Source organism: Homo sapiens, chromosome 7 (assembly GCF_000001405.40).
Source record: "Homo sapiens chromosome 7, GRCh38.p14 Primary Assembly".
Taxonomy (NCBI): Eukaryota; Metazoa; Chordata; class Mammalia; order Primates; family Hominidae; genus Homo; species Homo sapiens.
Genome location: NC_000007.14, coordinates 84,537,102 through 84,561,696, shown reverse-complemented (window position 1 = coordinate 84,561,696; position 24,595 = coordinate 84,537,102). Strand labels below are relative to the sequence as shown.

At 33.6% G+C, this 24,595-nt stretch overlaps 1 long non-coding RNA gene across 2 annotated transcripts in view; it reads right to left on the bottom strand.

Moving 5' to 3' along the window:
• Positions 1 to 24,595, bottom strand: part of LINC03017 (long intergenic non-protein coding RNA 3017) — a 51,843-nt gene that overhangs the window by 22,622 nt on the left and 4,626 nt on the right. For both annotated transcript variants that reach the window (NR_110080.1, NR_110079.1), the window contains exon 2: positions 12,444 to 12,550. This is a non-coding gene — a long non-coding RNA (long intergenic non-protein coding RNA 3017). The remainder of the gene's footprint in view (positions 1 to 12,443; positions 12,551 to 24,595) is intronic.

The following is a 24,595-nucleotide window of genomic DNA, read 5'->3' as shown; positions in this document are numbered from 1 at the left end:
TACTCCTACTCTTATTTGTTTATTTATTTATTTATAGTTTTTATAGTAGTGAGAACACTTAACATGAAATCTACCCTCATAAGAAATGTTTAAGTGTCCAATAACAGTATTGTTAACTACAGGCACAGTATATTGCAATAGATCTCTAAAACTGACATATTTGCATTCCTGAAACTTCATGCCAATGGGTTAGCAACTTCCCATGTCACTCTATCTCCCCAGACACTGGCAACAATTATGCTATTTTCTGTTTCTAATAATTTGACTATTTCAGATACTGCATATTAGTGGAATGTGCCTCTCTGTGTCTGGCTTATTTTACTTAGCATAAGGTACTCAAGGTTCATCCACATTGTCACATATGGCAAAAATTCTTTCTTAAGGCTGAAAATATTCCATTGTATTTATATATCACATTTTCTTCATCCACCCATCCTGCTGATAGACATTAAAGTTGTTTCCACACCGTGACTATTGTGAATAATGGTGCAATGAACATGAGAGTGCATTATTTTGTTGAGATCCTAACTTAAGTTCTTTTGGATAAATACCTAGAAGTAGAATTTCTAGATCATATTTTAGTTCTTTTTTAAAATTTTTTGAAAAAAATCCCATATTGTTTTCCATAAGAGCTGCACCATTTTACATGTTACCAACAGTTCACAGGAGTTCAGTTTCTTAACTGCCAAGATTTGTTACTATTATTATTATTTAATATTAACCATATCAACATGTGTGGAGTGATAACTTGTATTGTGGTTTTTATTTGCATTTCCCTGATGATTAGTGATGTTAAGCATCTTTTCATAGGCCTGCTGGCCATTCGTATGACTACTTTGGAGAAATGTCTATTCAAATCCTTAGCCACTTTTTAAAATAGGATTAGTAGGTTTGTTTTTGTTGATATGATTTTACTTTGAGTTGCAGAAATCCCTTTTTTATTTTGTTAATTAATCTCATTGGATATCTGGTTTGCAAATATTTTCTCCCATTTGATAGGTTGCCTTTTCATTTTGTTGCTTATTATCTTTGCTGCACACAAGCTTTTAGTTAGATGTAATCCCACTTGTTCACTTTTGTTTTTGCTGTCTGTGCCTTTGGTATCATATTTATGAAATCATTGCCAAGCCCAATGTCATGAAGCTTATTCTCCATGTTTTCTTCTGTTACTATTACAGTTTCCGGTCTTAAATTTAAGGCCTTAATTTATTTTGAGTTTGTGTTTTTGCGTATGATGTAAGATAAGGGTTCAAATTAAGTGTTTTTACATTTGGATGTTGTTTTCCCAATACTATTTGTTAAAGAAATTATTATTTCCCATTTTATATTTTTGTCACCCTTGTCAAAGTTCTGTTGACCATAAGTGTATGGATATATTTCTGGGATATAATATTCTGCTCTATTGATCTATATATGTCTATCTTTATGCTAGTACCATACTGTTTCAATTAGTGTAGACTTGTGCTATACTTTGGAATCAAGACGTGTGATGCCTCTAGCTTTATTCTTTCTCAAAATTGTTTTGGCTATTTGGGGTCTTTGGGGCTTCCATATAAACTTTAAGCTATTTTTCTACTGTGAAGACAACAATTGCAATTTGTATGGGGATTGCATTGGTTATTTTGGTTATGGATATTTTAAAAACATTATGCTTGACAATTGATAAGTGCAGGATGTATTTCAACTTGTGTCTTCTTTGTTTCATTGATGTTTTGTACTTTTCATTACACAGGATTGTTCACCTCCTTAGTTAAGGTTATTCCTAAGTATTTTTAAATGCTTTTTTAGATGGGATTGTTTTGGTAATCTCCTTTTCAGATATTTCATTGCTAATGCATAGAAACACAAAAACTTACTATAAAAAACTTATTTTTGTATCTTGATTTTGTATCCTTCAATTTTATTGTTTTATTTGTTCATTCTAAAAGATTTTTTTCATTTTTGGTTTTTGGTGGAGTCTTTGGGATTTTCAATATGTGAGATCAGGTCATCCACAAACAGGGACAATTTTACTTCTTTTTTCTCTTTCTGAGGACTTTTATTTCCTTCTCTTGTCTAATTGCTCTTGCTAGGACATTTATTATTATAGTAGAAGTGACAAGAATAGGCATATTTGCCTCATTCTTGAATTTAGAGGGAAGGTTTTCAGTTTTTCACCATAGAATGTGATGTTAGCCATAGACTTTTATGTATGTTCTTTATTATGTTAAAGTAATTTCTTTGTATACCTAATTTGCTGAGATTTTACCGTGAAAGTGTGTTGAATTTTTCAAATGCTTTCTGTGCATCTATTAAGATGATCATGTAATGTATACTCTTCATTCCTTTAATGTGATATGTTATATTGATATTTATATGTTGAGTCATCTTTGCATCCTAGAAATAACACCTACATTGTCGTGGTGTATGAACATTTTAGTGTGCTGTTGGATGCAGTTCGCTAGTATTTTATTATGGATTTTAAATTCTATATCCATCAGAGATATTGACCTGCAGTTTTCTTTTCTTGTTGTGTCATTGTCTTGCTGTGTTATCAGGGTAATACTGGCCTCATAAAATGAGTTTGGGAGTGTTCCCTCTTCTTCAATATTTTGGAAGAGTTTGGGAAGACCCAGCATTAATTTTTCTTTAAATCTAGTTGTATTTCATCAGTGAAGTTATCTATTTCTTCTTGACTTAACCTTGGTAAGCTATATCTTTCTAGGGTTTGATTCATTTTTTTTCTAGGTTATTCAGAAAGCATACAATGCTAATATTCTCTCATTATCCTTTTTATTCTCATGGCATCAGTTTCAATGTCTCCTTTTTTATTTCTGATTATTTATTTAAATCTCTTTTTTTCTTAGTCTAGCTACAGGTTTTGTTTAGCTTTGAAAAGATAACTACTTCATTTAAAAAACTCAGTTTTGTTTATTTTTTCCTATCGTTTTTGTATTCTTTATATATTTTGCTCTAATCTTTATTATTTCCTTTTTATGCTAAATTTGGGCTTCAGCTGTTTTTTTTCCAGTTCCTTGAGGTTTAAAGTTAATTTGTTCACTTGTGTTCTTCTTTTTTAATGTTAGTGTTTTATCACTATAAACTTTCCTTAGTACACACAGCCTTTGCTGCATCCCATAAGTTTTCTATGTTGTGTTTTTATTTTCATTTGTCTCAAGATATTTTCTATTTTCCATTTTGATTACTTCTTTGACTCATTGGTTGTTTAAATTGTGTTATTTAGTTTCCACGTTTGTGTATTTTCCATTTGTCCTACTGCTGTAGATTTCTAGTTTTCTTCCATTCTGACTGGAAAACATAATTGGTAGGATTTCAGTCTTCTTCTGTTTGTTAAGATTCTTTTGTGATGTAAAATGTGATCTGCCCTGAGAAATGTTTTGTGTACACTTGAGAAGAATGTATACTCTACTCAATATATATGCTACTGTTGGGTGGAGTGCTCTCTACATGTTTGGTAGATCTATCGATTCATGCTTTTGTTCATGTTTGCTGTTTCTGGTCTCCTATTATTATATTGCAGTCAATTTCTTCCTTCAGGTCTGTCAATGATTGCTTTATATATCTATATGTTCTGATGTTGAGTACACACACACACATACATATGCAACATCATAATTATATATATATATAAAATGTCTTTCAGACAATTTTACTCTTGTATCCTTATATAATGTGCTTCTTTATCTCTTGTGAAGGTCTTCTACTTAAAGTGTATTTTGCCTGATCTAAGTCTAGCCACTTCTGCTATCTTTTGGCAACCATTTGCATGGAGTATCTTTTCCATTTCTTCACTTCAGGATCAGTAAACATAAAGTGAATTTCTTGTAGATAGTATATGGATTGATCATATTTTTTTCTGATTAATTCAACCCCTCAATGCTTCTTGCTTGAGTACTTTAATCCATTTACATTTAAAGTAATTATTTATTAGAAAATAATTTGCTCTGGCCATCTTGTTAATTTCTTTCTATGAGGTTTTGTTTTTTGTTCTGTCACTCTTCCACTTATGTGGTGTTCCTTTGTCTTTAGTAGTTTTTTTTATTGATATGGTTTGTTTACTTTCTCTTTTGTGTTGTGTAATTTATATATATATTTTTTTCTTTGTGGTTACAATGAGATTTAAATAAAATTTCTTATAGTTATATGAGTCATTTTAAGCTGATAACAGCTTAACTTCAATTGCATACAAAAACTCTACATATTTATTTCTCCCTTTCCCAAACTTTATGTTATTTTTGTCACAATTTCAAGCTATTTATATTGTGTATCTATTAACATATTTTTACTTACAGTCATTTTTAACACTTTTTGCTTTTAGCTTTTATACTAGAATAAAAAGTTATTTATCCACTGCTATTACAGCATTTTATATATGTCTATATATTTACCTTTACCAATTAGTTTTATACTTTCATATACTGTTATGTTATGGTTTAGCATCCTTTCATTTCAACTTGAAAAAAAATCCCTTTAGTACTTCTTCTAAGGCAGATATAGTGGTAATAAAATTATTCAGATTTTGTTTGCCTGGGAAAATCTTTGTTTCTTTCAATTTTGAAAGATAGTTTTAGTGAGTATAATATTCTTGGTTGTCAGTTTTTTCATTTCTTTCAGCACTTTGAATATATCATCCTTCTAACTACTGGCCTGAAAGGTAAAAATCTGCTGTTAGTCTTACAGAGATTCTTTGTATATGAAAGTTTCCTTTCTCTTTCTGATTTTGGGATTTTCTTTGAATTTGACAATTTGATTTTAATGTGTCTTGGCATGTTTTTCTTTCTTTTTCTTTTTTGGTGCATCTTATTTAGAATCCTTTGAGCTTTCTGCATTTGGATTTCCAGTTTCTTCCACAGGTTTTGGAAGTTTTCAGCCATTATTTCTTTGAGTAAACTTTATGGTTCTTTCTCTCTCTCTCTTGTCTTTTGAAATTTCCATAATGCATATATTGATCTGCTTAATGTTTTCCCATAAGCCCCTTAAGCTTTTTTTCACTATTTTTCATTTCTTTTTCTTTTTGCAACTCTGTCTATAATTTCAAATGACCTGTATTTGAGTTTGTTGATTATTTCTTCTGATTGCTCTAGTCTGCTGCTGAAACTTTTCTATTACATTTTTATTTCAGTTATTATATTCTTCAGCTTCAAGGTTTCAGTTTTGTTCTTCTAAAAATTTTCTATCTGCTTGTTTAACTTCTTCTATTGTTCTTGTATTCTTTACCTGAACTCATTAAACATTTTATAATGGTGATTGCACGTTTTCTGTCAGTTAATTTATATTTATCTGTTTTATTAGGGTTGGTTTCTGGAGTTTCATCTTGTTGCTTTATTGGATTGTGTTTTCTTGTTTCTTCATTTCCTTTACTTTGTACATTGGTATGATCTACACATTGGGAAAAAAAAACACTTCACTCAGTCTTCACATATTTGCTTTGTGCAGAAAAAGACCTTCTTAAATCAGTTTGGCCAGATTATCTGTTGATCTCCCAAATCTTTGTGGTAGACCATACTGCTATCGTAGTTCCCAGCCACCCTCAGGTGTCTAGAGTACAACAGATCCTGCCATTGCTCCAAGATAGCAGAGATAGAAGCCATTCTCTCATATAGAACCCAGAGAGTTAGATCATTGGGTTCATTGTCCAACTCTTTACCTCCCCAGGGAGAAGATAGAATATAAAGTTTTTTCACTCATTCACTCTTCCCTAGGCAGGGGAGGGGGTTGATGGAGGTTGCTTTTGTGCTTGTTTAAACTCCATAAATAGGTACAATTATGTGTCAATTAAAAAGTAAACATAATCTATAAAAAGGTAAAAATAAAAATATTTCCAACAATGAAGAGAGGTTTCAGAGGTGACATAATGTTAAAAGTAAAATAATTTTTAATTTTTTAATAAAAATGCATAGACATTATTTAGCATAGATTATTCAAAAATACAGGGATGAACATATAATTTAAATTCATGAAAGAAACAGTCAGAAGAACTAAAAACAAAACAGTAAAAAGTAGTTGCTATTAAGAAATAGAACCCACGAGTAAGAGGCTGGAGATGGTTGGAAGGGAAATTTTCTGTCTGTATTTTGTAACTTTATACATTGATTTTTATCTCTATTTCAATATAAATGGAATTTTTAACAATAAAATATTCAAATGAAAGAAAAATGAAATTTTAAAAAATAATATTTATTTTCAGTGACCATCAGGCTTCTAGACTGTGATCAGTTCTGTCAGCACTCCGAGAAAAGCACCAGCATGGCACATGTATACATATGTAACTAACCTGCACATTGTGCACATGTACCCTAAAACTTAAAGTATAATAATAATAAAAAAGAAAAGAAAAGAAAAGCAAGACAGAAGCCAGACTCTTGAGCAGCTCCTGAAAAATTTGGAACCTTGGATTTGTGGTTCAACTATTTTCTTTCCAGTGAAAAGCTATGAGCTGAGGCTCTTCTTTAACCACTTACTATATGCAGAGTTACTGAAATGATTTGTGGTGAATGTCCACATACTAGGTCAAACCACTGCCTTTGTTCACAGTAGCCCATAGATGTTTGGTGTATGCTGGGTTCTGTCAGTGCTCCTAGACAGGTGATACAAAAAAGCCAGTTCCTCAACAAATAGCTGAAAAAGGTGGAATGTTTAATTCACAGTCCAGCTTCCTCCCTAGGGAGAAGCTGTGAACTGAGGGGTTTTCTCACAATTGAGTGGAACTGTGCCATGAGTGGGGAATTATAGTGAAAGCATGTATGATCTATGGTGTGCAAAATAACTGAGGCATGACAGGGACTTCATTCATATCTAGGTCATACTCACCAGACATTGACTGGATGCACGACATTGATCATCCAGTCTTGAGAAAACAGCAAGCACAGAATGATCTATTGGGATTCATATTGCATGCACACTTCTCTCTGCCCATGTTCCTTTTTCTCTTCACTCATTTGGGGGCCTTGAGCTCATATTTAAAACATTTTTCTCAAACCTGTCTCCAGTTCTTAGCTTTGGGTTAGCCCTGAAAAATCATCACTTAATCCTTCTAGCACTATCTCTTAGATCTCAATACCCACCCTATACTCTTTTCATACTCCTTCCCTAAACTACTGCAATGCTAATAAAGTTGCAGCCTTAGAACTCCACAGGTTGCTACATTCTCTCAGGTTGTGCCTCTTTTCTTCCTCTTTGAGCTTCTCCTTCCTCTCAGTCCCATGGGTCCTTCCTGTGTTGCAGCCTCACGTTCCCCACAGTGCCGCATCTTCATATTTGAATTTCAGATTTAGAAGTCCTAATGGCAATTTTTCATTCCTTTCTACCCCAAGTGTGACCCAATCCTTCTTTGTAATGTTTAAATTCCATAATTAAAAAATGATAATTTTATTACACTACAATGAACTATCTCTGTGTAACTAAAGACTCTGTAAAACAAAAAAGTAAATCGAATTAAATACACATACACTAGGAACAAATATTTGCAACATATATTATAAACAAATGATAAGATGCTGAACATATAAAAATCTCCCAGAACCTGATAATGGTGGTGTGAGAGGGTGGTACAACTCAAGAAGAAAATAGACAAATATTATGAAGGCAAGTCACAAAAGAAGTATAAGGATATTAAAGCAGTAAACAGGGGGAAAGTTCCCTAAGAAAATAGCAATCAGTAAACAATTTAAAACTAGGAGACTTCATTTACTTCTCATGAGAGTTGCTAGTGTTAACAAGGATTAGGACAGTATAACAGCTCCATACATTGCCAGAAAGGGTGAAAACAAACATGCCCTCTAGAAATGCTGATGTTGGTAACTTTTTATTGCAATGTATTTAAGAAAATTGGGCAGTGTATATATAAGATTAAATCTCAGTGGCAGGAACACTATTATGTATTCTTAATGGCCTGTACTTTTCTGTTTGATCAATTTCATAGGAAAACAAATAGAAAAAATAGTAAATAGGTCCTAAGAAAAAATAAATACATTGCATCTACCAGGCAAAATAACAGTGAGTCTGTAAAGCAGAGTAACAGAAATAATATAACTTACATTGTTCGATTAGGACAGTTCTCTCAAACACTTTAACTTTTAAAACTCGGACTTTTTATTTAGACAGATATTTCCTGAGGCACAGTTGGGAAAATAGCATTTGAGGCAAAGAAAGGGCAGATATTAAAGCTCTGATAACAAAAAGAGTTTGAATATTTCTAGAAATAGGAAGAAAGCCACTTTGGTTTGAGTACAGTGAAAGATGATATGGGCCTGAGAGAAGGTCACCATAGCAAGGAATATTCAATTTATTCACACACAATAAGAAACCAATCAAATGATTTTAAGAAGGGAAATGCAGAAAACAAGTTTATATTTTAAGATTGCATTAGATTATGGGAGGACTAGATTAAAGGAAGTAAAAAGAGTCTAGGAGACACTAAGTTGAAGGTGGTTGTTGTTCTTCAGGAAAGAAACGATGGTAGCGTAGGCAGAAGAATGTGGACCAATCTAAGATATAGTTTGAAATGGAATCATTGAAATGGGAAAGGTTCCCTTATCCCCCTCGCAGGGCATGTGATGGGGATGTGTGGCTTGCTTCTTCAGTGCCCTGCTGCTGAAACCTTTAGGGGAGCATACAGACGGCAAACTGTGGGGATCGGAAGTCACAGCAGTGTCTAGAGGTGAATGTTTACATCTCCTGAAGCCCCAGTGGGTGTGTGTAACAGGGTGCTCTCTTAGTTGCCATCTATAGGCAGCTAGTGTTAACCAGCTCAATTAGACTCCCTTCCTTATCACAAGGACAGAGGGATTCCTGTATACAGGGGTTTCTTGCCTTAGTGTACTGGCAGAATCGGATCACATGTTGGCTTAGAGAATGAGTGTAACGTTTTATTGAGTAGAAGTAGCTCTCAGCAGATCCGGGAGCCAGAAGGGGGATGGTTTTCCCCTGAAGTCAAACCTGACTCTTCTCCAACCACTCTAGCCGAACTCTGTGTCGTTCCACTGGTGAATGGCCTGCCTGAGTTCTGGCATCTATTGGTGTGCTCCTCCCTTGGCATGCTCCTCCCCTGGTGTGCTCCTCTCCACAACCAGCCGCTTGCGTCTTCTTCAGCTAATGTGCTTCTCTCAACATCTTGCCACCTCTGTGCATGCTAGGGTCTCGGATTTTTATAGGCCCAGGATGGGGGCATGGCAGGGTCTTGAGAAATGCAACATTTGAGCAGGAAATACCTGTTCTCACCCAAGTCCGTGGGGGTGGAACCCTAGCCAAGGACCCACCTTTCTCTATCCAGCACTTCTCTTCCCACCTTCCGTATCATTTAAAGGAACTATGCTCTTTCCTTCCCAGCACTCCCATATCTTTGTGACAGACTGCATACAGAAAGCGAAGAGGAGGCTTTTGAAGGGTGACACTAAGCCTTCTCACTTAGGCAAATGTAGAGAGACAAAGAAAACTGAAAAGGAAAAGGTTCAAGTAAGGGGTAGAAAAATGAAGAAAGTCAAGTCACTTACATAGAGAGAGATATGTGTAAACACCCGAAACAGATACAAAACCAAGAAATGATCAAATTATATCTAGCAGTACAATGTAATGTATAGCTTACTTCCTCTTTCAGTATTCTTTAACATAAAAATGTTTACTTGTTCATTCATTTATAAAATTTGAGTGCTTTCTTTGTGTTGTTTCAATTAATTTTGATTCTTTCAAATATATATTCATTTATCAGAATTTTTAAAATGTGCATATTATATTAGAGATTGGATAGGCTATTAGCTACTGTAAACATCTATTGATTCTTTTGAAGAATACTAATGATATTTTACTTGTAATATCTACATCTACATGGCAGAGATTTGAATTTTTTTTTTTTTTTTTTTTTGAGACAGAGTCTTGCTTTGTTGCCCAGGATGCAGTATGCAGGGGCTTGATCTCAGCTCACTGCAACCTCTGCCTCCTGGAGTCAAGCAATTCTCCTGCCTCAGCCTCCTGAGTAGCTGAGACTACAGGCACACACCACCACACCTGGCTAATTTTTGTGTTTTTAGTAGAGATGGGGTTTCACCATGTTGGCAAAGATGGTCTCGAACTCCTGACCTCAGGTGATCCACCCACCTCGGCCTCCCAAAGTGCTGGGATTACAGGAGTGAGCCACCGCGCCTGGCTGAGATTTGAAATTTTTATGTTATGTTTTTTTTTTAATTGAGAAAAGAGAAAGACTTGCAATTAGGTGATATCCAAGAAGATAAATATCATTCAAGACTTTTTTAATCAACATATTTTTCATAACCTGTCCACAGAAGATTCATTGATTTTTAAATCAATCATTTGCTCTTTTAATGATATGACAAAGACTCTGTGCTCTAAAAGTAGGTAAAAGCAATTACAATTATAAAATTAGCTAAGTTTTTGAGCACTTACCATATGTCAGACAGTGCGCAAAGCAATTTAGGAGCCTCATAACAACTCATGTGCTAAGTATTGTTATCTCCATTAACAGATATAGAAATACAAGCAAAGTGGAAAAAAAATGGCGTACTTTGGAAAATAAGCCAAATGAGAATGCAATTGTCTACTTGTAGTTCTACATGCCAGACAGCCAGACCTTTCATAAACCCAAAATTTGGAGGAAGACTGTCCACTAAGGCAATCTTTCAGACATGGAGTAGGAAGTGATTCTTATTTGGCTCCATATTATTGTAAAGAAAGTCATCTCTCTCACCTACGCAGGTTATTTAATAGTAATTTTGGATCCAGGGAATCGAACAAAGACTATATTTTTTTGGTGTCATCATGGCAATTGTATGATAATCATATTTTCATTTCCAAAAGCCAGATTATTGATCTTAACTGAAGAGGGTAGCAAACACGTTAAAACAGACTAAAGTTGTTTCAGAAATCTTATAAGAGGCAATGCGAGGGAAAATACTTAGTATATGGATTTGTTCAAAAGTAAGGCAAGTTTGTATTTACACAAGATGGCTATATTTGAAAACAACATAAAATGATAAAACTATGCATTTTTAACTATTGTGCTAATATGTTTTGCATTGTTATAATGAATACCTGAGCCTGGGTAATTTATAAATGTAAGAGATATGGCTCATGATTCTACAGGCTATACTAACATGACACCAGCATTTGCTCAGCTTCTGGTGAGCCCTCAGGAAACTTTTCCTCATGGTAGAAGGTGAAGGGGGAGCAGACCTGCCAAATGGTGAGAGAGAGAGCAAGAGAACAGGGAAAGAGGTGCCAGACTCTTTTAAACAACTAGCTCTTGCATGAACTAATAGAATGAGAACTCACTTGTTACCACAAGTATGGCACCAAGTCATTTATGAGAAATCCACTTTCATGATCCAAACACATCCTACCAGGTCTACCTCCAACATTGGAGGTCACATTTCAACATGAGATTTTGAGGGTACAAACATCCAAACCATATCAGTTTTCATACTTTAGTCAACCTAAATATGTTATGTTTAATACATCAGTTTCTACTTTATACTTATAGATAATCATGAAAATAACCAGAGGAAAAATGATTCTAATATTCATGCAGTTAAAAACAAAACAAAAATTAAGTGATATAATAGTACTTTGACAAATTATCAAATCTATAGACTTTTAATAAGGAGTAATGTATCTCACTTTACCACAGTAAAAGATTGTAAGTTTGCATTTGTCTTAGGACATCAAAAGCTTTTACTTTTTTAAAATTGAACTCATAGGTTACTATTTACTTCCAATTTTTGAAAATCTCAGAGCACAGAACACTCCACACACACAAAAAAAGTTAGTATTTTTATCTTTTCTCTGTAAGATCCCCTTCAGAATCTAAGTAAGGTTCTTTTCTGCCAAAGGAAGATAGGCTTTACCTATAAAAATGTTTAAGTTGATTTTTCTTATAATATCAGGATCTATGAGATGCTAAATTTGCCATAGTTCCTGTCCCTTTTGCTATTCCAAGCAATGTTTTCAAACTAACAAACTATGGATTTAGCTTATGCTCAGCGATGTCCAAATAGTATGAACAGTCATTTTATCTTATTGTTTGACAGCATTCATTGACCCATATGCCTAGTCAGTTTAAATGCACTATTGCATCATAATATGTAAGATATAACTGTTCCCCTAAGACTACACTGCTAGAAATAAAAGCAGCACATTTCCAAATACAAAAATTATTTTTAAACCTACCTTACTAATAGCATCATTTGAAAGGTATTTGTTATCTTTAAATGAAACTTTTGAATTCTTTATAATGGTATGAAGTCTCTACTATTCTTAAAGGGATCTTTCAGCATTCAGATGACCTTTGTTCAAATCCTAAAAAGTTTGGCTTTTTTTGGTTTTGTCTTTTGTTAGTTTGTACATCTAAACAATTTTTCATTTGCACAAGAAGGGACTAGAGACCACACAGGCCTAGCATATTTTTAGACATTGGTATTCCTTTTAATCTTTACCTTGTAGCTCATATCAAAGCTGTAATTGTTTGCTAGCCAGCAAAATCTAATGGCTCCCTCTGGTCAAAAGCTGTCAACAGCAATCTATCCAGCAGTGGGGGCATTGCCTGAAACAGAAAAAGCATCACATATGGTCGTATTCCTTGGTGAACTACAAACAAGGTAAGGCTTAACATTTTCAAACACAAAACCATTACTAATTCAACATAATAAAACTGGGGCACTAACATATCATTGCTAGAGAATTTTGCTTTTTGGTTCATTACTGTCCTATATGTCAAAGAACATAACAAGATAGTCCAAGTATTTACACTGTTTTTTTTTTCTTCCCTTGATTTCACAATATAGCAATAAGTCTCTCTTAGATGTTAGATCATGATTTATTAGGTGTCCAAAAGCAAACCCGTACTCCAAAATGTATAAAGAAAACAGGCCTCAAATGATCAGTCCAGATTTCCTGCTAAGTGTAAAGACTGCTAAATTCATTAGGAAATCTAACAAAGAAAAATACTAAGATTTTTTTTATTTGCTCCAAAAACTGTAAAGTTCTGTTTAGAAATTTCTGAGGTAGGTGGTTTATTTAACATTTGTATTATCACAATAGTATTGTATAATCCTACCAACACGGTTCAGTGTAATGACTCTAAACATCAAACCAGCTATCGAACGTCATGCTGAGTTTCCCATCCAGACTAATTAGAATTCTTGTCTTCTTAAAACATTTGCACTCTTGGCATTCCAGTGGTTTTTCCACTTGTGGCTGAGCCTTTTGGATATTTCTAAATGAGAATGAGCTGCATGCTGCTAGCTTTACATGCCTCTTGGTTCCTTCTGCCCTCTCACCTGAATGTCAGAAATCTTTTAGTAATTCTTCATAATGAAATCAAAGAAAGTTCCTCTTAGCTCAGTTTAGAGGAATCCTAATGGAAGCAGCAAACTAAAAACAGAACATTCACCCAGTAGTTTTCATATATTCTAGAATCCCCTCTTTGCTAACCCACTTAATATAATATATAATGTAGGATGGATTGTGGATTGTTCTCTTATTAGAAGCAAAATAATTCACATATAAATAAGCTATGCTGGACTTGATGTACTGCATAAAATATGTGTTCAATTTCAATTCATATAAAAGAATGATAACATAGAAGTAGACTTCAGGTAATAAAAGGAAGAAGAAAATAGTCTTGGATCAGTAGAAGAGGAACTCATTTTGTACACATTTGACATGAAGAATAGACAGCGTACAAGGTAAAAATAAGAATTTGTACTGCTCTGTGTCTATTATGAGACATAATAAGGCTCTCAAAGTTCCTGCAACAGGAGCATATGGTGTGTGTTTTTGCTAACATTTTTCTAATGCAAAAACTTCCATGTACCACTGGTAGGAAATTCATTCCCCAATATAAAGTTTAGACAACTCATTAAATGCTGTTGTGTCCTTTTGTGAAAGTCTTCAAAGCATATATGCCCAATTCCATTTCAGAGATTATTATAAGCCACTGATGAAAAGTTTTATTGGAATCTGCCATTGGTTTAATTAACACACTAATTCATCTCAGAGCTGAACTAAAAATTGGATAAGTCTTTAGTAAAATTCAAATGCAAAAGGATGGCTTTGGTTAAGTGAAAGCATGATAACATATTTGGTATTTTGTCTGCTTTCCTGACACATATCGCCAAGGTTCAGTGGACTGGTAGTATGTTTTGTTCATTATAACATCTTCAAGCATTTCTAAGATGTCTGGGGTTTGGCAAGCTCCAAAGATACCTTGCCAAGCGCATTTTCCACTATTATTTACACCTGTATATATTTTCAAGGAAACAGTTTGAGTGTTTCTGATTAAATAGAGCTATTGAATGTACAAATGGCCCCATTTAATACACTATAAGTAACTTAATTCAGTTTTTTGGGGAAAACTAAAAAATAATTTACATTTGCTAATAATCTAAAATTTCATAGATTTGGATTGTATCTAACCTTAAATCAAAATATCATTAAATCGTAGAATTGAATAAGACACATTATTATCATGCTTAGCCTCCACGCCATTTTCCATTCATTTTGTCATCTCTGTCCAATTTACCATATCTCATCCTATGCAAGATTTTAAGTACTTGAACATGTGTATGTCATTTTACTACCTATGCTTTCCTGATTACCTTTTAAGTAATCTAAGTTGGTAATAATAGTAATTGTTCACAGAGAAATACAATTCCTCTTGCCAAAAACCATACCAAATATTAGGTGGAATTTTTTATGTACTTTCCTTAGGCACTGATGTATAAAATGTTAAATAGTATATTAAATATAATGTGTAACTGTGTATAAGTATATATCACATGATACTGCAGGTGGGCAGGGAAGTGCTGGGTAGAGAAGGGTGGGTCCCTGGCTAGAGCTCCACCCTCGAGTCTGTGCCCATGGACCTAGGTGAGGACAGGCACTCCTATTTTCATGCCCAAATGTTGCATTTTCCAAGACCACCCTGGCCCGCCACTCCCCCATCCTGTGCCTATAAAAACCCCAGGATCCTAGTGGGCACAGACACAAGCAGCTACATGTCGAGAGGAACACACTGGCAGAACACATCGTCAGATCCTGGAAGGCCATCCATAGCGGAACGACGCGGACGCCGAGGGGAATTCTGCAAAAGGACAGTCTGGCCGCTGGGCGGCTCAATTCCAACTTCTCACTCCATCCCCTGCTGTCCTCCCCATTCAGCTCAATGAGAGCTACTGAGAGCTACTTCCAGTCAACAGAACTTTGCCCTCATTCTCCAAGCTCCTGTGTGATCCGATTTTTCCAATACACTAAGGCAAGAACCCAGGATACAGAAAGCCCTCTGTCTTTGCGAATAGGCAGAGGTTCTAACTGAGCTGATTAACACAAGCTGATTAATGCAAAGGAGAAACAGATTCCAGTTGACCATTTTTAGAGTCTTCTAAGGAAAGAGACAACACAGGCTTCCAGAATATATATATATATATTTAAACCCACGATGATCTAAACAAATTTGAAGTGCTGGCTCCTGAATTAGTTTATTGAAACTTATCAGCATCTCCTCTATCAACATTTCTTTTCTTTTGAAAGGCACCGCACGTTACTTTGTGGGAACCTATGGACAGTGTTCTTCAAACTGAGAGACATGTGTACCCTGGAATACCTACTTACCAAGGGTGGAGCTGATATGGACAATTTTTAGGCAGTCACTTTCCAGCTCATATTCTCATTTTCATAGATACTATTTGCAAAATCTATTTGCCTGAGAAGACACTTGCTGTAAAGCTGTTCTGTCAGTTCCCACACTTTCTGACCAACTCCCAGCCATCATTCATTCTCACTTACTTTGTACTACTAAACAAAAAAACAATGAAATTCACTGTTGCCTAAGAAGCATCCTTTAACTTCTAACACGTGTATGAAAACTAAGACATTGGACAGATCTTGGTCATGTCAATTTTTAGACTTCCCCAAAATTGAGGATGTGCATGACTTTACTGATTGGGTAACAAATGCTTTTACAATTCAAGTGCTTTCCAATATTTGCTTTCAACAAAATTGAAAGATGGTCAGATAAGGTTGTCAGTTAATAAATCATTAAAAGCAATGTTTGGTAAATGATCACAATACAGTTTTTGCATACAATAGAGAAGGGATTTAGATAATTAAGTGATATATCTATGGTAGAACTCCTTGAATTCCCATCTATTTATTTATTTGAAATATGAAAAATGTTAGTAACTGCTGACATTTCTGAAAATAAAAAAGGGAAAACAATTAAGGCTGCATCTTGCATGATTTTAGAAACAAGTCATATTAACCCATGCATGCATAAAATAATTAGAGGGGAAATATCCATGCTCTCATTAAAAGGTGAAAAAATTGTTAAAAATTATTTATAAAAATATGTACAATATATACTCAATTATTCTAGTAAAATTGAATACAAAAATATTTTTGAAACTCATAGTTTACAATTATCAATTTAAAAAATTGTTCACATATTTTTGTTGAATGTGATCTTTTTTTTTTTTGCAATTTGCTTTGTCTGCCTAGAATAAGGGAACAAGTAAAAAGAAAAATTATTTAAATCATTCATTTGTCATTAAAATGTCTACTGATTATATGATGATTTGATATGATTTGATATAATAAGTATTAATACTTGTATCATTATTAAGGCAAGTTTAGACCCTTACCTTAATAACAATATAAGTATTAACACAATTTTAAAAATAAAAGTAGATGAAAACAGAAAGCTACAGATAGTTTTTTTAAAATTAGGCAACTATAATTCTAGTTGCCGTAACATATTTTCAATTTTTTATCTTATAGTTCGAGTATTATTTTTATAAAATATGTCAATCTATATTAAATAATTCATTGATAAATTTTATTTTTAAATTATAAATAAAGTTTAATTAATTAAAATTAACTAATTAAATTTGGATGTATTATAAATTTTATTTCTACAAATTTCAAGGAAAAATGTATGACAGAGAGATGATCTGTGTTAACTTGTTTAGTGACAAATTATAGTACCATTAATGGTGTGTCAAACCGATATTACATAAATTCTGCTATGATGTACTGTGACAGATATAATTTTATCAGTTTTTATTCTAGTCAAAAATGCTTCATTTGATTTTATAAAGCTTTTTATATTTAACTTCTAGCAAAATGAGAAATAAAGTAAAATATCTCAAAAGGAAGCAAGCAGACAAACCCAAGATGCAGGACATTCTTCTGGACAGCTGCTTCGTTAACTTCAGCAAGTTCATATGATTAAAACTGGTACCCTATAATAGATATTCCAGAAATAGCCCAAATTGTAAATATAAATTTGGTGTAAGACAAAGATGAGACTTCAAGTCAGTGAGTAAAGTATACTAGTTTTGAATAATTAAGATCTTGTGATGAAATAGCCATGTAAGAAAAATAAATAAATTTTGTTCCAGTTCTTACCTATTATGCCAGAATAAATTTTAAATGGATTAAAATCTAAAATTAAAAAACTATATACCAGTGCTAGGTAAAAACATAGGTTAATTTCACTGTACATCTAGAATGGAGAAAATTATTCAAACTATGACAATTTATAGACAAAACAGTAGACAATATTGATAAATTTGTTCATATAAAATTTGTAAATGCAAAAAAAAATCAAAGTGTAAAAGGCAAATGAGAAATTGGAAATATGTAATGCACACAACAAAAAAAGGTAGTATATGAAACATATTAATATCTTCTAAAAATAAAAAAAAGCCTTAACACTATAGAAAATAAGCAAAATATACAGATAGGTAAAAAAGAATGAAAATATAAATGTCTTTAAAGATATGAAAAAATGTTCTGCTTTGTTCATAATAAGAAAATTGCAAATTAAAATACTCTGTGATCCAATTTCTTACATATTGAATTGGCTATAATCCAGAAGTTTGACAATGTCCTCTGTGGGTAAGGATGAATAAAACAGTCTCATACACTGATGATGAAAATGCAAAATGTTCAAAACCACTTTGAAGGGAAATTTAATAAAGTCTAGCAACATTTATGCCTTTGTCTGGTGACCCAGCAATCCCACTTTGAAGAACATGTCCCAAAGATATACTGACAAAAATATGAAAAAGAGAACAATATGTACAATGCCACTTATGCTGCAATATCTGAATTGTAAAAACTGGGAAAAAACAAATGCACATTACTATGATACGGGAGTTGCTTGAATAAACACAGTATAGTAACACAATAGAAATCTAGATAATACTAAAATGACAAACGGAATACCTCAATAAACTACTAAGAAGTTTTCTCCAATATATATTGTTAGATATAGAAAGCAAGTTCAAGAAAAATGGGTATAATATGTGATTGTTTAAGAAAGAGACAACATATGCAGGATATTATATGTAAATAGCAAAATGTTAGGATATAGGCAACATGTATTGACTACGTTAATATATGCATATGTATATAGGTATGTTAAAAGCTGGAAAATAATTTTAAATTTAGAAAATGTACAGATAACGACCGGGCATGGTGGCTCACACCTGTAATCCCAGCACTTTGGGAGGCTGAGGCAGGTGGATCACCTGAGGTCAGGAGTTCGAAACAAGCCTGGCCAATGTGGTGAAACCCCGTCTCTATTAAAAATGCAAAAATTAGCTGGGTGTGTTGGCGTGTGCCTATAATCCCAGCTACTCGGGAGGCTGAGGCAGGAGAATCGCTTGAGCCCGGGAGGCAGAGGTTGCAGTGAGGCCAGATCGCGCTGCTGCATACCAGCCTGGGTGACAGAGTGAGACTCCATTAAAAAAAAAAAAAAAAAAAAAAAAATATATATATATATATATATATATATATGTGTATATATATATATATATATACACACACACACACACGTATATAAATATATATACACACACGCATATATATACAAATATATATACACACACACACACACACACAGATACCTATGGCACAAGGAGAGACAAAGATTAGAGGGAAAGAAATAAGAGTTGGACTTCTCCTACTGTACTTTGTTTTGTAGATTTTTATTCTATATCCATGTAAATGTTTTGCATAATTCTAAAAAATATTTTAAGTGGGGAAAAAATAGCAATTCTTAAAACCTGAAACAAAGTGAAGCAAATTAAACTATGTATTGAATTGATGATAAAACCACACATAGTGAAATTATTCCAAATGCCTTTAAAACATGATAATTTGACTGTACACCCCTATACATACAGCACAAGTACAAAAACAATTTTAAAAATATTAATATACTGTATTCAATAGATATTTTTAGTCTACTATATGTTATTCATTATATTAATACTTTTATTCTGACACATGTAATTACACATACAAACACATGTACAGGAAATGTGTGTGTACATGTACATATCTTTTTAGATACTTAAAAAACCCATATCCACATGTTTACATATACATAGTATGTATATTGATGTTATTATGTTATATTTTTAAAAGAGCATCTTTTTGCTTTATTGTTGTTTATAAATTTTTTAATTTTCATTTTCATGAATAAATAATTGTACATATTTATGGCATACATGTGATAATTTGATATTAGGATACAAGGTGTAGATCAAATCAAGGTAACTGGAGTATTGATCTCAAGCATTTGCCGTTTCTTTGTGTTAGGAACATTTTAATTCCACTGTTTTAGTTATTTTGAAATATACATACATTATTTCTAACTATAGTCATCCTACTGTGATACCAAACACTATTTCTTATTCCTTCTATCTAAGTACATTTTGTTTCCACTAACCATATGCCTTCATCCCTCAACCCCCTGCACTACCTGTCCCAGCCTCTAGTGACCATCATTCTATTCCCTAAAAGAGCACCTGTCTTACAGAGATATAACTGGAGTTTTACAGATAAAGTGATAGGAGGCCAGGTGCGGAGGCTCACGCCTGTAATCCCTGAACTTTGGGAGGCCAAGGTGGGCGGATCACCTGAGGTCAGGAGTTTGAGACCAGCCTGACCTACATGGAGAAATCTTGTCTCTATCAAAAATACAAAATTAGCTGGGCGTGGCAGCGCATGCCTGTAATCCCACCTACTCAGGAGGCTGAGGCAGGAGAATTGCTTGAACCCGGGAGGTGGAGGTTGTGGTGAGCCAAGATTGCGCCATTGCACTCCAGCCTGGGCAACAAGAGCAAAACTCCATCTCAAAAAAAAAAAAAAAAAAAAATGATACGATAATATTAAGACTAGGATTTACTGCAAATAATTTAGTTTTGTTTTATGCAGGGACAGAAAGTGTGTCTTTGGGTTAACATATGTTGAAATTAGTTGATGAGTGCACAGGGAGTCATCCTATTCTATTTTATAAATGTTAGAAATTCTCAGTGATAAAACATTTCTAAGAAGAGACAGTAGAAAAACATCCTAAATTAAGAGGTTTAAGAAATGTCTAATAAAGAGGAAAGAAGATTAAGAAACATTAAAAGCAGAAACAATATTTTGTCTGGAACTAGCCACTGATTTGAACATTTTGGAGTCCATTAAGATAATTTAAATGTAAATTATGTATTAAAAAGTTATAATTTTACAGAAATAGAGAAATGAAAATAGATGCTGGTGAAAAAAAAACAGGTCACAAGAGAATGTAAGATAAGATCAGAAAAAGAATAAAATATAAATACTTATATATAAAAAGATCTGAAATTCAATATACTAGTTATGCTTTTGATTGGGAAAATATTAATTTTGTTGCTGAATTTATTTTCTACAATGTATATTTATTATATAATAATAGTAGGAATTTATTTTATTTAAAAAAACAAATTCAGTTTTTCTCAATTTTTTCTATACTAGAGTCAGTGACATTTCTCTTTTACATAAATGTAAAACATTATTATAATCATAAAATTATACCCATTTTCTTTCATTATATTTGAGAATATAAATTCTTTGTATTAAACAAAAAACATTTAAGAGAAACAGTATCAAATTGAGTCAAAACTGAAGTCTTATTACTTTATAATTTTAAATATGTAAAATTTCTCAAACTACTCTTTGTTGAAAGGCTGTGATTTTCTTGAAGTTAGTTTATCTTCTACCAAATGCCACTTAATTCCATACTTATTTTTAGTCATGCAAATAATATTTTCTATGGGGCATAACTGGTGATGCACATGGAATTTTATATCTGCTTGTACTTTTCTGTGTAAAATAGAAAATACATTTTGCATTTTATGTAAATGGTGAAAAGAACTTCATCATTGCTAAGTGATTTTTAAAAGTACTTTTTATATACTTGTTACTATAAAGACATACTCAGCGATCCAGCTCACACATTACCTTATTAGACCAACACAATTTATTACCATAGTATATCCTGTATATTTTAAGCTAAATTGCAAAGTATGAGGATAGTTGACAGGAATTTTACATGGTCTAGTGACATACATGCTAAGAAAAAAATGACATATTCTGGAAGATGGAGATGTGCTTCCCTATCTAACAATTTCCTTCTTTCAATACATTTTTCTTTATTAAAATTACTCATTAATTTGTGTTATGCCTATCATGTCTTGCCCTTCAGTTTCATGGCCTGCTTCTTGCATATCACTTTCAAATTAAAATTGGAATTAGAAATGTATAAAGGGTGTGTGTGTGTGTGTGTGTGTGTTTGTGTGTTATCTGTAATAGTTACTAATATCCCCATAGTTGTAAGTCTAAAATGAATTTTAAGTACCAGTCCTTTGGCAGACTGACTGACAATGTCTTTTCAGTCAAAAAGAGTAGTAAGGTCTTTTTCATCTTGTTTCTCACCCTGGTAAACAATACCTCTTGGTTCTTTTAGGATTGGCTGCATTCATTGTCATCAGTTGTAGCATATGTTATTGGAATTTCATTCTGCTTAAGGCTTCTGCATGTTTGAAAAATTATTAGGTTTCTGTATTGTGATTTAGATGAAGGTCATTTTGGCCGTAAGTTTTTTATAGAGACTTTGAGGCCCCAGGTTTACTACTTACTAAACAGTTCTAAATAAAGTATCGTTTATACAAATTACATCTTAGAGAAAAGTGTGAACCTTATAAAAATGCTGCAAGTGATTTTAATAAAGGGGGCTACAAAAAAGGGAAGCTATAACCTGCCCCTCTTTTCACTCTGACCTCATCTGTTGTAAATGAATAAAAGCACAAATTGGGTTTTATGCTGAACACTTTAAAGTCAGTAGTGGTTTAAAGTTATAAACAAATGAAAACCAGAAGGAGACTGAGAAGTTATGCGAACCTGTGCACTTGAAGATGCAAGTTTCTACCAGGTAATTATAGTGAGAAAAGTGGTGACAAAAAAATAAAATAAAATAAAATAAAATAAAATAAAATAAAATAAAAGAACTATTCCAATATTCCCAATCACTTGCTTGCACTTTGGAGTCAGTCTGAATAATTCATCTTGGGTCTAGGCCAAATGAAAGCTAGAACATAATATTTAAAAGTTTTTACAAAGCTACACTTATTTTTAAGGACTTTTTAATTATTTGTCTAAGAAGCTTTTCTACCCTTTCTGGTGTTAAAATACCCTTTCTTTTGCTTTTGTGAAATGATTATATGTAGAGGTCCTTTTGTTGTTATTTTTTAACTTTTCACTTATCCAAATTACAAAACTTAGTAGCTATAATGAATTAATATTTATTTTTGAGATGTACTAAGTGAAATTTAAAAGTCAGAGAACCACAGAATTGGTCTTTTTACTGATATATAAGTCTGGTACCCAATGTTAAACTTGTGTCTAACCTCTCTGACATTCCCAGTTGAGGTTATTAGACTAACATGTGAAATATAAGGCATGGAGGATTGAGTAGCTCTACCACTGAGAAACTCAAGAACAGAAAAGGAAATGCATTTAAGGGTATGGTTTCCTTCACTTGGAAAACCACCCTATAAATTCCCATATTTTTTAAAGGCCCTACTTATTTGATATTTGTATTCTTAGGTCTTCCAGGCCAACCCTCTTTAAGCTAAGATTCACCTCTCTGTACCACCCAGATATATATATATATATGCTTTTTTTTTTTTTTTTTTTTCCTGAGACAGAGCTTGGCTCTGTCGCCCAGGCTGGAGTGCAGTGGCAAGATCTCGGCTCACTGCAAACTCTGCCTCCCGCCCCCCAGATATTTTCATAAGGAATATATGCTCTTTAAAAACAGCTTGGCTTGAAGTGGACATTTATCAATTCAACTGTTGCTGAGCCAAAGTGTGTTTATCTTACTCACTGCCCAATTTGGTTCTTGATTCCAGTTACTACAGAGTTTTCCTATGTCTCAGCTCAATGGGAAAGAAGAAACCATTCCAGAGCGGTCACACCGGGCTCTGTCTGTTGGCCTTGTTTTCTGCCAAAGTGTATAAACAGGGCCTCTAGATTTTAAATGTTAACTAGGATCTGGTTACTAAATTCAGACCTAATCCTTTTTCCTACTAATTTAGGATAATGGAAAAAAAACACCTTGGTTTATATTATGAAGATTCATGTAGCATTACAGCTCTTACAAGATCTACTATCAAATATATTAAATAATTATGAATCTTAGAGAGAGGGCAGGAAAAGTTTAATTTTTAAGAACTGATTGGAGGATTACCTTGATGGGTCTTCAATTTGTGAAAAAGCAGTTTTATGTAAGTGCCTAGACTAGAGAAGCTGGCTGAAAATGAAAATGTAAAGAGGCGGCCTGGCACGGTGGCTCACGCCTGTAATCCCAGCATTTTAGGAGGCCAAGGCGGGCGGATCACCTGAGGTCACGAGTTCGAGACCAGTCTGACCAACATGGAGAAGCCCCATCTCTACTAAAAATACAAAATTAGCTGGGCATGATGGTGCATGCCTGTAATCCCAGCTACTCAAGAGGCTAAGGCAGGAGAATCGCTTGAACCCGGGAGGCAGAGGTTGCGGTGAGCCCAGATCGCGCCATCGCATTCCAGCCTGGGCAACAAGAACGAATAATAATAATAATAATAATAATAATAATAATAATAAAGAAATGTAAAGAAATGTGTAATTTGTAATTTTCTATGAAGAAATATACAGGTGCCTGGGATATTGTGAATTCAGAGATGGCCCCAGAAGTGAAAATAATATTTTTTCAGTTGTGGAACTGACCTCACATTTTTAAGGGTAAAGAAGGCTGTATAATGTACCAATTTAAATTACGTGCTGCTCATTGATGCAGCACTATTTCTTGTACACCCACTGTGTTTCTGTTACTCCTCAATCTTTAGTAGAAGTCTCCTACTCAACAGCTGGGTGGAAGAGGGACTGATTTGGGTGACATGAGAGGAAAGACAGAAACAGCCATATGTAGAAAGACTTGAGGGAGATGAAGAGTTTGCTGTGAAGCAATAAATAGGGACCACATATGATCAGGCACAAAAGTTCAAGCCCCTTACTAGACCCAAGGCATGTTGACGGGAGCTGGGATGTGAAATGGTGTTTCAACCTAGTTGATACTTAGAACAAAAAGGACAAGGTAACTTTAACATCCTGGGCAACCTAAAAGAATCTGTGGCACTAATATATATGTTTCTGGCATTACATACAGAAAAAATAAATGCCACTTATAACTTGTTTTAAACTGTGTTTTTTTTTTTGTTTTTGTTTTTGCTTA